Source organism: Homo sapiens, chromosome 2, assembly GCF_000001405.40.
Source record: "Homo sapiens chromosome 2, GRCh38.p14 Primary Assembly".
Lineage (NCBI taxonomy): Eukaryota > Metazoa > Chordata > Mammalia > Primates > Hominidae > Homo > Homo sapiens.
Genome location: NC_000002.12, coordinates 46,447,971 through 46,462,365, shown reverse-complemented (window position 1 = coordinate 46,462,365; position 14,395 = coordinate 46,447,971). Strand labels below are relative to the sequence as shown.

Here is a 14,395-nt window from a genome sequence, read left to right as displayed (position 1 = left end):
AGAAACGTTAAGCTATTTGCTCATGCATGTCACACAACTCTTAAGTAGTGCAGTTGAGATCCAGACCCAGGTTTGTTTTACCCAGAGCCTGTTTTGTTTTCCTTCTTCTTGGACTTGGTACCATCACACACATGTGGACTGACATATAGGCCCCCACAAACTGCGTTGAAAAAGATCCCATAACCCTTTACCTCTCCCCGTTTAAGGCACCCTGCAAGCTTACACATGACCAGTCTCCTACTGACAACATTGCTGACTCAGGGATGAAGGAAGTGGTGGAAGTTTCGATTTGACGACACTTAATTGAACCTTCTCTCCCCTAATTTTTGATTTTCACTGCTCGCCATTGGCCAGATGTCACCTTCTGTTCCCCTTGCACCATTTCCCTTTTTTGTCCCAAGCAGACTTCCTCTTTGGGGGCCTTGCAGCCTGTGGTACATTTCTTTAATGCACCACTCACGTTCAGATGTTTCTATTGGCTCACGTGTTTCTGTACTTCCAGACTGCAGGCTTTTCTGGGACAGGGACTGTTTGATTCATGTCTACCCCTGTGCCTAGCATGGCACCTGGGACACAGCAGGTGCTCACCTGCATGCTTGTTGGATGATAAGTGAGATAAGACATGCTGGAAATGGCAAAGAAGTGCGTCTTGGCTGGAGAAAGTGAAACCTATCATTATTGATTTCTTGCCATTCAAGAGTAATTTTCTTCATGGCCCTCCCCTGGTTGATTTTCAAGTTTGCTTTAGAAACCTGGGCCCAAGATCGTCTCTCTGGCAGCAGTACTGCTTTTGTCCACAAGATGGCAGGCGAGGCCAGCAGGAAGGTGGCGGTCAGCAGCCAGAGCCAGGTCAGAGCAGGTCACTGATATTTTTCACAAAATGCGGGAACCTCTTTGCCACCTTGTAAATGCACATTGAGAGTAAGAAGTGGGCTTGGAGGCAGCTTCTCTGGCTGACCCCAGTGAAAAGGAGTCTTTTGGAAAGGATGTTTGAAGAGAAGTTGTAACAGCAAGTTGTGAAGGGGCTGCTCTTCATAAACCCCCTTTGAGTAGTGTCCCTTGAAACGCCACGCAGAAGGAAGTCAATAGGAAGCCATCACACTCCAAATGATCCAGGACAACCTCCGCCTTGCCTGGCAAGCCTCCTTTGCTTTGGAAATTGCTCCTGGTTCTGTGGCTCTGAGGGATCCTTCTCCCCATTCCCCAGGTTTATGGAAGTTTCCAAAGGAGCCACATCACTGTGTGCACAGGTCTGTGCTCACCCCAGAGGTCAGTAAAGACTTTCTGACTTGAGCCGACTGGAAAGAAGTGACAGCTTGAAAAAATGGCCTGGGGACTTTCCAGAATATAGGAATTTGCCAGATAGCTCTCTTGCGGGGCCCACCAATACTTTCCCCCCAAAGCCAGTTGTAATGACTAAGGTAAGGCCAGGCTTTCCCACCCCCTGTCCTGGGGGGCATAGGTGTGGCCATGGGAAGAGGTGAAACGCCTCGATCTTGTGCTGAAACAGATTCTAAGGCTGCAGCCGCGCCCACCCCTCCCATTTTTCTTCTGACCTAAATCTTCCCCTGAAGCTGAGCTGGGCTCCCAGCCAGGGTGTCAGCCGTGGACAAAGGCGCCCTGTTTTGAAGGCCTGGTTACTGTGTTTTCCTGCACCATCTGACAAATGGCGTTGGACTCCCCCGAGTCAACGTGATAACAGAAATATACAACGATGGCAGTTGCCTCAGTCTGACCTTCCAGGAAACCAGAAACACTGCCCCTCCAGTTTCTACCACATGGCCGTGGGGTTGCTTATAGGAGCAGCCCACTCCTCCGCCTCAAGTCTGGCTGACCACGTGGTGGGAGCTGGGCTGGATCCTTCCTCAAGCTGAGCTTGTCCTATTTTTTCTGGCTGACTGGGGAGCCAGCCACTACTCACTGCTTTTCCTCAGGGTCTTTGGACCGTGAGTGAGTGACGTCCTCAATGATGGCCTGTTGTTCCCTCCCCCTGCTGCTGCCACCTCCTCCTCTTCAGTGCCCTGGCTCTTCTGCCTCTGGCACTGCAGAGAGAATGAGAAATGACTGGGCTGGGCTGGACACCAGGGCGAGTTCTGCTGAAGCTACCCATTGCTGTGCCACCATGGGGAGACAGATCTTTCAGCTCCCGAGGCACGGTTTCTGCTTCTGTAAAACGGGGATAGTAACACATGCCCCGTCTAACTTACCAGTCATCTGGAGGCCATAATCATATATGTGGTGCAGATGACAAATGGGGTGTGCATTCAAGGTGGACAGGACTCTCTGTGGGCCTGGAAGGTGGAAGGAGGGGGAGGAGGGTGGAAAGGACAGGAGGGATTTAGACATGTCACATTATGGGGGAGACTGTGCCAGGTAAAGAAATGGTGGGAACAACAGCACAATGACAGGAATCCACAGAACATTTCTAAGGGACAGTGGGTACGTCATTCTGGCTTAATCAAAAGCTGTGAGTGTGTACACACATGCATAAGTGCACTCGTAATGGGGACATGAGCCTGGAAACTTGGTAAAAGATCCAATTATAGAGGGCCTTGAAGTCCCAGCTCATTGTTTTGTGGAACATTGCAAATTTATGAGAAAAGATCACATGCAAAGTCGTGTCAGGAAGATTACTGTGGCTTTTGCGTATGACAGGCTGGACAGGCCCGTTTAGGAAATGATTGTAAGTTCTGGGCCAGAGAGGAAGATGTGTGAGACTGAGAAGGTGCCCAGGGGACAGATGTAAAACCCTCCTGTAGAAGAATCAACAGGGCTTGCCTGAGTTCAGGCCTCAGAGGCTAGGGGAGTGGTGGTACCATGGAGAACCAGGGAAGACCACAGAAGAAAGCCAGGTCTGGGCAGAAAGTTTAGCTTCAAAAGTACTCTACGTGGGATGACTGTGTTCATTTGACCACACATAAGCAGTGACAGGTGGGAAGGACAGTGGGGCCCACAGTCAGGTAAGACTCCTCCGACAAATGCTCCTCACCATTCTGGTCTCCTTGTGCTCTCAGAAGGCGGTCTTCACCCTGAGCCTGCATCCCGACTCAGCCTCTAGCTATCAATCAGTTTCATAAATGGGCCAGCTGGCCTGGCTCTCTGCTGAGCTCTGACCCTGGCCTATGTAGAAAGATCCCTGGCCAGAATGTGCCGTGTCTTTGGCTGGATTTTGCTTCACTAGGGGCTGCTGTTCTTCTCCCTGCAAAGCCCAGACTCAGCTGTTTTGAGGGTAGGTCGAGAACTTAGCCCCATTTGGCAGGCTTCATTTGGGGAGTAGAGACCAGAAATTCTGCTCAAGAAGGAGGCGAGGGAGACAACAAAGATGGTAGGAAATTTTCTGGGAAGAACAAAAGGCAGCAAGAGGCGTTTCTTCCCTTCAGTTCGGGCCTTTCAGACAGCTGCTCCTATGATTGATGGAGATATTTATTTGCTGCAGTTTTCTTGGAATCACCAATCTCTTGTCAGTGCTCAGCACCCCTCAGGAGAACACTGCTGGCATTATAAGGTGTGCATTTTAATTCTAAGGGAGTTTTAGGTGCAGGCAAGATGTTGATTAAATATGGAACTGGCAAGAGAAGATAGGTATAAGAGCCTACAGAAGAGTTGGGGGTGGGGGAGAGGACCCAGCTCTGCTGCTGACTGAGTCCCCTCCTCCCTCCAGATTTCAGTTTTCTCACCTGTGAAATGAAAATACTGGGCTACAGGATCTCCAAGCTTCTTTTGTATCCTGGCATTCTGATTGGTTTTGTGCCATGGTCCCAGACTGGAGCTGGGTTTTGTGGGCAATGGTGGAGAAAAAAAGCACAGAATTTGCTGTCTGGACAAGGCAGCCATGGAACTGGCTATCTTGAACCACTCATAAGCTTTTAGATCAGTCTGGATCAGCTGAACAGAAGTCTGATCTTGTAGGCCAATGTAAAACCTCACACTGTTCTGTGGCTCCTACCAGGTTTCACACTGGCCTACCAGGCCGACCAGAGCAATAGTCTCCATATGCTGTCATGGGATCATAAATAAAAAAGAGAGATGGTCAAATAATTTTCAAATATTTTAAAAAGAAATGAAGCCCTTTTTTTAAAAGGAAAATTTCTGTGGACTTCAGATAAAACAGATACAGCTCTGGCTGTTTTGGTAGAAGGGGCCTAGAGGATGGCTCAGCATGCCCTTTTCTCACCTGCCCGACCCCCACGCTCCTTCATGGAACCCACAGACTCTAAGCAGTGCAGTTTTAACATGGCCAACCCATGAGTCAATCTAATGGCAGATATGGGGACAAGTGAGGTCCCTGATTCCAGGTCCATATTATGCTGTTGCCTTTTTAAAAGTCACTTTAAGAACCAGTATGTGAATTCTCCTTCTGTGTCTGCTATGAAAATTATGATGAAGATAAACAATGTGTGTTTTGTTGAGCATTGCACAATGTCCACTACGGAAGGTTCTCCGCACCTCCATAAGAAATTTGTTAGCAATTCATATTAGGAAAATCTTTATCTTTTCCCCAGGAACTGAAATGCCTCTCAGCTCTTTGTTCTAAAACAAACAACATGCAACACACAAAACTTTTGTCTTCCGCTAGGGGTATGTTGCCAAGGTAAGATGTATGTCACAGGGTATTTCCATCTTTGTGCTGCATGGGGCTGCTGTGGACCCACACTTGGCATCCATTCCAAGCTCTTGTGTCTTCTTGTACCTGGGAGGCTAGAAAATTGAAAATGGTATTTCCTAGATTCCCTTGCTCCTAGTATTCTGGATTTAAAAGTTACCACCATCAGATGCACCAATGAGATCTCTAGGAGGAGGACGTGGAGCAGAGGCCATCTTCATGCTGTGCTGGCTCTTGCTGGTGGCAAGCAGGGCTCTGAGGTATGAACATTGCTGCAGTGGTGACTCCATGTCCAGCTGTTAGCTTCATAGGTGTCATGGCACATCAGCAGGGGTGTAATGCCTCCCTGACCCTGCGATTGGAAATTTGGCAGTGTGTTCTTGATTTCAATAATTCTGTGTGCTAAGCTTTGATTCTCTGCCTTCTCGATTATAATAATAATAATCATTATAATTGTTTCTTTGTATGTCTCCCTATTGGTTCTTGCTTCCCTCAGTGACAAACGTCTATTTGGGGTTTTACAGCTTATGGAGCCCTTTTCCTTATTATAATTGACCACCACAGCCAACATGGGAAGCCAATAGGGAAGGTTTATTAAAATTAGAAGACCACATGGTCGTTGCCATGGTGGAGGTATGTACAAAATGTGGTGGGCGCCTAGGTGGGATGCTTCGGGTGACTTGAAAAAGTTGGACGAGGCTTTAGAGGTCGTGGCATCTGAGCTTCGAAGGGTGAGATATGTAGAGACAGATGGGCACTGAAGGAACTTGACCATCAGAGGGAGAAGCACCCACAAGGGTATGGAGGCACCCTCAGGAGAGAGGGCATGTGGTCCAGGACTCTTGGAGGAGGAAGGGCAGTGGCTGGAGATGACGCTGACCTAGAAGGCCTGTGGGGAGGGCCTGGCATGCCTGCCCAAGGGGAGTTTAGATTTTCCCTGTAGATGACTGAGAGGCAAGGCAGTTGAAACACTGTAGGATGGCCTTCAGGGGTGAGATCAGAAGCAGAGAGACTGGAGGAGGCTGTGATGGCAGTTGAGATAAGAGGTGATCAGGAGGTGGCAGTGATCAGGGGATTGGTGATCAATCAGATGTGGAGGGTCAGAGAGAGGAAATGGCCAAGGACCACTCCTGGGTTTCTGGCTTGGCCAACTGGATGAACGGTGCTCACTGAAAAAGCAAGCTCTGGATGAGGAGCTGGCTTGGCTATGTTAAATTTTCAACTCTCTGGTTATCAGCTGGTTAGCTAGGTCTAACACTTGAGAGAGGTCTGTGTGGAGGCATCTATTTTAGAGTTGTTCAGTGTTCAGGTGGCAATGTGATACCTTGGGTATGGGTGATTTTTTTTTTTTTTTTTTTTTTAAGAATGTGAAGAACAAGGGAGGATTTAAGATAAAGCTGATGGTACTCAATACTTAAAGAGACCTACAAAAGAGACAAGGGAAGAGTGGCCTGAGACAGAGAAAGAAAATTAAAGGAGGAGAGAGGTTCAAGGAAGATGCAGTGGTTAGCAGTGTCAGAATTGCAGGGATGTCCAGTAAGGTGAGGACTGAAAAGTTTCTTTTGGGTTCAGCAGGTCACTGGGGACCTTGGCAATTCGATTTATTTTCCATATATATATATATATATATATATATAGAGAGAGAGAGAGAGAGAGAGAGAGAGAGAGAGAATGTATATATGAGTGCCTACTTTATATATAGAGTGCCTACTATACGTATATATAATATATATACTATATACATACTATATATATTTTAGATATACTATGCATAGTATGTACATATATGAGTGCCATATATATATATATCTATATCTACTATATGCCAGGCACAGTTCTTGGAGCTTAGGCTATCCAAGTGAATAATTCCATTCTAGAGGGGGAAGATAGCTAACAAAGAATGAATGCAACAAACAAGTACACTTATAACATGATAGATGCACATTTATACTATATCTATAGGTAAGAGCTATAGATTAAAAAATGTAGAACATACTCAAAGGAAATCCGGAATGTTGGGCAGGGGTTTTAATTTTAAATATGGTGGTCATGAAGTTACATTTGAGCAAATACTTGAAAGTGGTGAGGGGTTGACCATGTAAACATCTGGAAAAAGCATTTTAGAGAAACAGCATAGCCATTAAAAAGGCCTTAAGGTAAGCTACACCTGGCATGTTCTAAAAACTCTACCGAGGAAGCCAGCTAGGGTGGAGTGAGTGAGGGAGAGTAGCAGGAGATCAACTCAGGGAAGTAAGGGCAAAGTAGAGGCAAATCTCCCAAGGCCTAGTAGGCTATGGAAGGAATTTGGCTTTTGGGGGCCTATGGAGAGTTTTGAGTCAAGGAATGACATGGTCTAAATTATGCTGTGGCTACTGTGTTGATAATAGGCTGTAGGGAGGGTGGGGTCACACAGGGAGACCTGCTGTTGTAGGAATCCAGGCAGCTTGGGTCAAGGTGGTGGCAGGGAGGTGGCCAAATTTGATTTCAATAATTCTGTGTGCTGAGCATGTAGAAGTGGTCCAATTTTGGCTATACTTTGAAGGTAGAACCATAAGAATTCCTGACAGATTGGGATGTGGAGGGCAAAAAAAAAAAAAAAAAAAAAAAGAAGAAAAATATTACTTTGTATTTCCTAGCATGAGCAACTAGAAGGATGGCTTTGCCCTCAACGGAAGTGGTGAAGACTATGGGTGAAAAAGGTTTGGGTTCAAAGATCAGAAGTTTAGATTTGGCCATGTTGAGTTTGAGCCATCCATTAGACATCTAAATGTAGATGTGGACTAGGCACTTTTGGTAGCTGAGAGGGGTGGAAGCTGCATTGGTGGTGCTCACCTTGGGAAGAAAATGTAGGTGAGAAAGTGGAGGCTGAAACTGTAGACCACATGTCCCATGAGCTTGGCTGTGAAAGAAAGGTGTGCTCTATGGTGACAGCGCGAAAAGAGGGACGGGTTGAAGGAGACTTTTTTTTTTTTTTTTTTTTTAGGCAGGGTCTCATTCTGTTACCCAGGCTGGAGTGTAGTGTTACATTTAATAGGTCACTGCAGCCTTAACCTCCTGGGCTCAGGCGATCCTCCCACCTCAGCCTCCTGAGTAGCTGGGACTACAGGCATGCACCACCACACCTGGCTAATATTTGCATTTTTTTGTAGAGATGAGGTTTCATCATGTTGCTCAGGCTGGTCTCAAAATCCTGGGCTCAAGTGATCCTCCCATCTTGGCCTCCCAAAGTGCTGGCATTACAGACGTTGGGCTACTGTGCCTGACCAGAATTTTTAAAGAAAGAAGAGCCATGAGCTTGTTTACAGGAAGAAGTGAAGAATCCAGTGGGAATCCAGAGGTTGACAGTCATTGAAGAGAACTTGTTCCTGAGGGAGCCAGGTCCCTGAGGAGTCAGTGACAACAGATACATCTGAACATCCAGATGTCCTTTCCTCTGAGGAGGGGTACGGTGAAGGACATACAGAGTTAAGATTTCTAGGGGGTGGTGACGGAGGGGCAGGGAGTTGGGAGATTTTTATTTACGTTTCTGTAAAGTAAGAATTAGGGACAACTAAGAGAGAAAAGGGAAATTGGGTTGGGAACTTGAGGAAAAACATACATGTTTAGGAGAGTCCTTGAGGAGACCATTGAGGAGCAGCCAGGAATGTTGATGGTACAGCTGATGCCATAAATTTTGTGGGACATCATTCTTCCCCGTGGTGAGATTTTCTCCAGCAGCTCAAAAAGTAGCCCTTGTCTAGAGGGAGGATATTTAGATCATTCCAGGATTCGGAGTTTACTGGGGGTAGATGTGATAGAAAGACAAGAAGATGACTGTGCCGAGGTGGTTGACAATAGAGCAATTGAAGTGGAACCTGGTAGGGTCTTGGCTGGATGCGGAAGTGAAGTCAGGAGGTGCAGGTAGATATGGAGAGCCAGGTAGAGTCAGGAGCTCAGAGGTCAAGTTGTGTGAGGGCAGAGAGTAATTGTAGTGGGAGGATCTGAGTGAGAGCTGGAGGGATGAGAGGTTCTGATCTGGTGTGCAATTGAGATGAAGACTTGAATGATGAGGTAGTTCTTGTTGGTGTTGAGATAGAAGGTATGACCAGGAGGATGGGCAGCCCAGTATAGAAAGAGGGGAGTCACTGGAGTTGAGAATGTTAAGAACCTGAAGACTAGGATGTTCAGTATCATTTACATGGTAAACAATTCTCCCAAGATGGTGCCAGGAATTAGGGTGAAAAGGAAGTCAGTTGGTCTGGATAATAAACCCCTCAATCTAAGTGTGGAAAGTCTAGGCAGTCCCTAAAGAAAAGTAACAATGAGGAGTTGTGGACAATGTGATGCTTGGCTTTGCCACCAAGGAAAGAGGGGTTTTGTCCAAAAGCTGAAGAGAAATGGCCTGGTAAGTTTGTTTCTCTTTCTGAAGTCCCTCTGTGTATTTTTTTGCATCTCTGACAGCCTGTATTCTATTTGAACTCCTACTACTACTGACTTTTTTTTTTACAAGTTTCTTTCTTGCATAATACCGTTAGGTCCTTCAGGACAGGTACACTATGCTCTCACGCTGTAAATACTTATAAACATTGGTTTACAAATGGAGGGTGGGCCAGATTGTGATTTACTTTGGGTACATTGCCTGAAACCAAATGGGCAAGAGCTTTATTTTTTCTCTATCAATTTGCATCTTCAACAGAAGCATCCCATTCCCAATGCTCAAGGTCTGAGGATTTCTGGCCTCACATGGAAAACAAGAGAGATCTAAGAGTCCCTTCTTTGTCACCTCCTGAGACCTTGATCTAGAAGTTTTCACAAAACCTGAGTTTGCTCAGGCTTCTGGTGACCTGACAACTGATGGGGAAACACAAGAAACTGGAGAAGATGCCAAGCCCAGAAATGGCCGCTGGAAACCAAAGATTCTAACAGAAGATTACTTGTACAATGAACAGCAAACCAAATGCAAAGGCAAATATTTAATTTTAGGTGGAGCTTTATTTTCCTTATATCAGAATAACAGAGACCTTGGATCAAAGCCTCTGGGACTAATGACAAAAAAATTAAATTAAGTGTAATTATATGCCACTCAAAGACTCCTGGGAAGCCATTCAAATATGCAAGGGTCCTTTGTGAGAGGTAGAGTTAGTTCTCCCTGATTGAGAAAGGCAAACTGAGGAGGAGGTGGGCTGAGTGGAGGTAATTGTATTTGATAAACTCAATTACTACTTCTCAGCAACTGGGATGTGTCCTGCTAATACAATGGAAAAAATGATTATGTGTTCTATCCCTTTGATGATCCAAGTGAACAAAAGTAGAAATAACAAAGTTTCTAGAACCTGGCAACTTCAAGGCAAGACCAGATCCTAAATTATGGAAGATATTTCAGAACTCATTAGTACAGATTGGACTGACCTACTTAGCCTGTTTGTGGATGGCAGATACCTGAATGCCAGGAAAAAAGGGATGTTGGTAGCCCCTTGAAGGCAGGTACTAGGTCTCTCTTCAGTCTCCTCTTGCACATAGCATAGGCATTGCCCACAGTTGGTCTGGGGAATGCTCTGTTTCTGTCCCCTGAGTAATGAGGCCTTGCTGCTTTTTGGATATAGTTGTATACACAGTAGTTGCTTCTGGTGTTTTCTCTTTGGAGTGGTTGTAAAAGGCAGCTTTAGTTCACACATTGATTCCATGTTAGCCCTTAGAGACTTAGATATGTAAAAATTAACAAACAAATCCAAAACCAAATCTTACCTTTAGCCAAAAACTAGTTATGGCTTGAATTGGATTAACAGCATTCTTTTCATAGTGCTATGAGTGCCAATACATATTTTGCCTCTCCAGTTTTTGAAAACCTATCTTTGTCCTAACCTTCAGACTCCCATGTCTAGCTGCTCCCTGACTGCTCCTGCAGGCACTCAGATTCAACCCCCACCGCCCTCCTAAACTTTCCCCTTCTCTCCACCTAAGCCCCCACTGTCCTCTGCTGGGCCCCCACCCAACTCCCTGGAGTAACCTAGAGTCACCGTTCTGTCTCAGCTAGTCTAATGGCCACCTCCCAAATAGCCCTCTCCCAACTTTCTTCTCAGGCCTGTCCTCTTTCTCCAACTCCAGCAATAGTCATAGGCCATGCCCTTCTTACATCACATGGACAGGGCCGCCGTTCCCACCTGGCCTCCTGGCTCTATCTTCTCATCAATCCATCCTCTACGTTGTTGCTGTAATACTCTTTGAAAACAAAGTGAAAAAAACGAAATGCAGAGGGATTACACTGCACGTGTCATAGTGACTAAGAGCATGGACTTCGTAAACTCCAGCTCTGCCATGTCCTGGCTGGGAGCCTTAGTTGCTTCACTGGTAAAACTAGGACTAAAAATAATCCCTGCAGCAGATAGCTATTGTGACAATTCAGTCAGCAAATCTGTAAACGACAGTGCCTGGTTCAGAGTTACCTTTCGGTGACTGACCACAGCTTAGAGCAATCGTTTCCACATTGTGCTTAGAGGCCTGGGACTCTTTCTGTCAATAAGCAGTTTTTGGTATTCTGAGGAAAGCAGGGGAGCACTGACATATAAAAGACTATTCAGGTTCTACTTTTATTTTAAATTTTATGTGAATGTTTTAAATTGAAAACTGATTTTCCCTTAAGCTTTTCAAAAATTACACATCCTTTAAAAATTATTTATTAATATATATTTTTAGAGATGGGGGTTTCACTATGTTGCCCATGCTGGCCTCCAACTCCTGTGCTCAGGCAATCCTCCCACCTCAGCCTCCCAAGTAGCTAGAGGGGCAGGGAGCTGGACTACAGGTGCACACCACTGCATCTGGCTTAAGCTTTTAAGTTTAACCTGCAGATTTCACTCTATTTTTTGATCTAGCAAATATTTAGAATCGTGTTAAAGGGGCCCCTAAAATGTCCAAACTGCCTTTGAAATTCCATGTATTCTGTTTTTATTTTTTTAAAGGGTTCCAACTATGTAATTAATCAACATTATCTTCTAAACTACTTCATAATTTTCAAAAATATATGAAACATATTTGTGTATATATGTATGTGTGTATATATATGTGTGTGTATATGTGTGTGTGTGTGTGTGTATATATATATATATATACACATATACATATATAGTAACTTTCAGTATTCTTTTGTTGTTCTTCTTCTTTCGTTTTGAAAAAGGGTCTTGCCCTGCCACCCAGGCTGGAGTATAGTGGTGCGATCACAGTTCATTGTAGCTTCAACCTCCTGGGCTCAAGTGGTCTTCCCACCTCAGCCTCCTGAGTAGCCGGGACCATGCTCAGCTAATTTTTTTAAAAAATGTTTTTTTAGAGACGTGGTTTTGTGATGTTGCCAAGCTGGTCTTGAACTGCTGGGCTCAAGCAATCCTCTTGCCTCGGACTCCCAAAGTGCTGGGATTAAAGGTTTGAGACACTGCACTTGGCCAACTTTCAGTATTCTTTGTAAACTTAAAGCCTATTGTAATTTTTAATTTAAAATTATAAGACTAAAAGTAATAGGAATCCTAGATTAGAATCATAAGTCTAATTTGTTTGATACTGTAATTTGAAAATTCTCTTAAACATGATATGGGTTCAAATATTAAATTTATATGTATTCTTAAAATTTAACATGTTACTTTTAGATAGATTTATTTAATCATTCCTATACTTAAATGTAAATCTCTTAGGATTAGAAAGGGACTTATTCAATAAGAAAACAACTGTTTCAACTCAACTTGAGTGACTTGGGGCTTTTGACAAATATGTTCTGAATTTATTAACCAGAGAAGATCCTGGCCAGGGCACAAAGCTTGAGTCTTGCCCATGACACTGCAGCAGGCTCAGGTCTCTGACCTCCAAATGGGCACTGTAAGCCCATTCTTCTATATTCAGTATCAGGTTACACATTGCCTAATTTTTGATAACTGTCTATTACCTCACCAATATTACAACAAACTCTGCTACTCTTTCAGTTAAAATTTCTATTTCTTTGACTTTTTAAGGTATTAATATTTACATGTATTTTGCTCCTGGCTCTTTATACCCTTACAAATCAATTTTATCATCTGATTAAGGAGCAAATAAAATCTTGTTTTATTTCTCCTCTATATTTTTCACTCTGGTATGGCTACCATTGTCACAGATGTTAAAATGACATCAACAGTCCTGACTTCCACTTCTGCTCAATATGAAATAACAGGGACTGAATTGATTGATCCTCTTACCTGAAACAACAACAACAACAACACACACACAAAAAACCAGACAAAGTGTATGAAACAATGGCTCTCAAGACTTTGGGTATGAGGCAACAAAGGACAGTAATCCCTAAAAGACAAAAAAAGCAAGATGAGTCCTACAGTTTCCATACTTTACTGTCTGGAGAGAAATTTCAGGCTGTGGATTAGGAAGGGGGAACTCAGGAACTGCCCAAAAGTCTGCCTGAGTGAAGCAGGTGGAGCTAGGAATCTGGGGAAGCTAAGATGGCTAGTCTTTGCAGAATGGAGAAAGGAAAAGGAGACAGCTATACAGAAAGAACTCTAAATATTAACAGAGGGTCATCCTCAAGTGTTCTGTTGAGTACTGCTCAGTGCATGCACGTGAGAAACTACTACCTGGGGCACCTGAAAGGACAAGAGGGAACCATGGCCCAAGATCACACAGAGGTGAGCAAAGTGCTCATTTCCAATACCAGCCTGGAAGTCCTCAAAACATGCAAAGTATTGGGTAGACTGAGAAGGGTCTTTCCTTGCTAATGGGGAAAATGAACCCTAGAGTAAATGCTGCTCTTGTGTATAAAAGCAAGATCTAGAAGAATCAGGGTTTCCAAATAATGGTATTCAAAAAAAGAAGAAAAAAAAGCTTAAGAATACTTATAGAAATATAAAAATATTCAGCACTCAACAAGATAAAATTCACAATGTCTGGCATCCAACCAAAATTCCAAGGCATGTAAAGAAACAAAAACACAACCCAAATGAGGAGAAAGGTCAGTCAATTGAAACCAACCAAGAAATGACAGAGATAATAAGATTAGAAGACAAAGGTTAAAACAATTATTGTAACTATATCCTACATATTCAAAAGGCTAGAGGAAAGATTGAGCATAATAAGTAGAGAAATGGAAGACCTAAGTTGAACTGATAGAAGTAAAAACTATAATGTCTGAAACAAAAAAAAAAACTAGATGGAAATATTGGCAAGTTATAAATTGAACCAGAAAAGATTAATGAACTTCTGAGGCACAGTAATAGCAACAATTTAAAATGAAACAGAGAGCCGGGCATAGTACCTGTAGTCCTAGCTACTAGGGAGGCTGAGGTAGGAGGATCACTTGAGCCCAGCAGTTCTGGGCTGTATTATGCCGACTCGGTGTCTGCACTAAGAATGGCATTGATACGGTAACCTCCCAGAAGATGGGGGACCATTAGTTTGCCTAAGAAGGGGTGAGGTGGCCCAGGTTGGAAATGGGGAAGGTCAAAACTCCTATACTGATGAGTAGTGGGACCGCACCTGTGAATAACCACTACATTCCAGCCTGGGCAACGTGGTGAGACCCTGTCTCTTAAAAAAGAAAGAAACAGAAAAAATGAACAGAGCACCAGTGAACTTGAGACAACTTCAAGTGATCAATTATACATGCTTTTGGTATCCCAAAGGAGAGGAGAGAGGGAGGAACATAAAAAATAAAAGACATTATAACTAAAAAGTTTCCAAATTTGATAAAAACTATAAATCCACCGAAACCCAATGAACCCAAGTACAACAAACACAAAACTAACCAAGGTGCATTATCATAACATTACTTAACACTCCTGA

The 14,395-nt window shown here is 43.9% G+C and overlaps 1 pseudogene, besides 2 other annotated features; it reads left to right on the top strand.

Annotated features, from left to right (window-relative positions):
• Nucleotides 238-317: an enhancer, noted in NCBI's record as "active region_15703". NCBI's record gives its function as "activates an Ori minimal core promoter by ATAC-STARR-seq in GM12878 lymphoblastoid cells {active_cell/tissue: GM12878}" and the evidence as "EXISTENCE:reporter gene assay evidence [ECO:0000049][PMID:35858748]".
• Nucleotides 348-407: an enhancer, noted in NCBI's record as "active region_15702". NCBI's record gives its function as "activates an Ori minimal core promoter by ATAC-STARR-seq in GM12878 lymphoblastoid cells {active_cell/tissue: GM12878}" and the evidence as "EXISTENCE:reporter gene assay evidence [ECO:0000049][PMID:35858748]".
• On the top strand, nucleotides 13,855-14,142 carry RN7SL817P (RNA, 7SL, cytoplasmic 817, pseudogene; annotated as a pseudogene).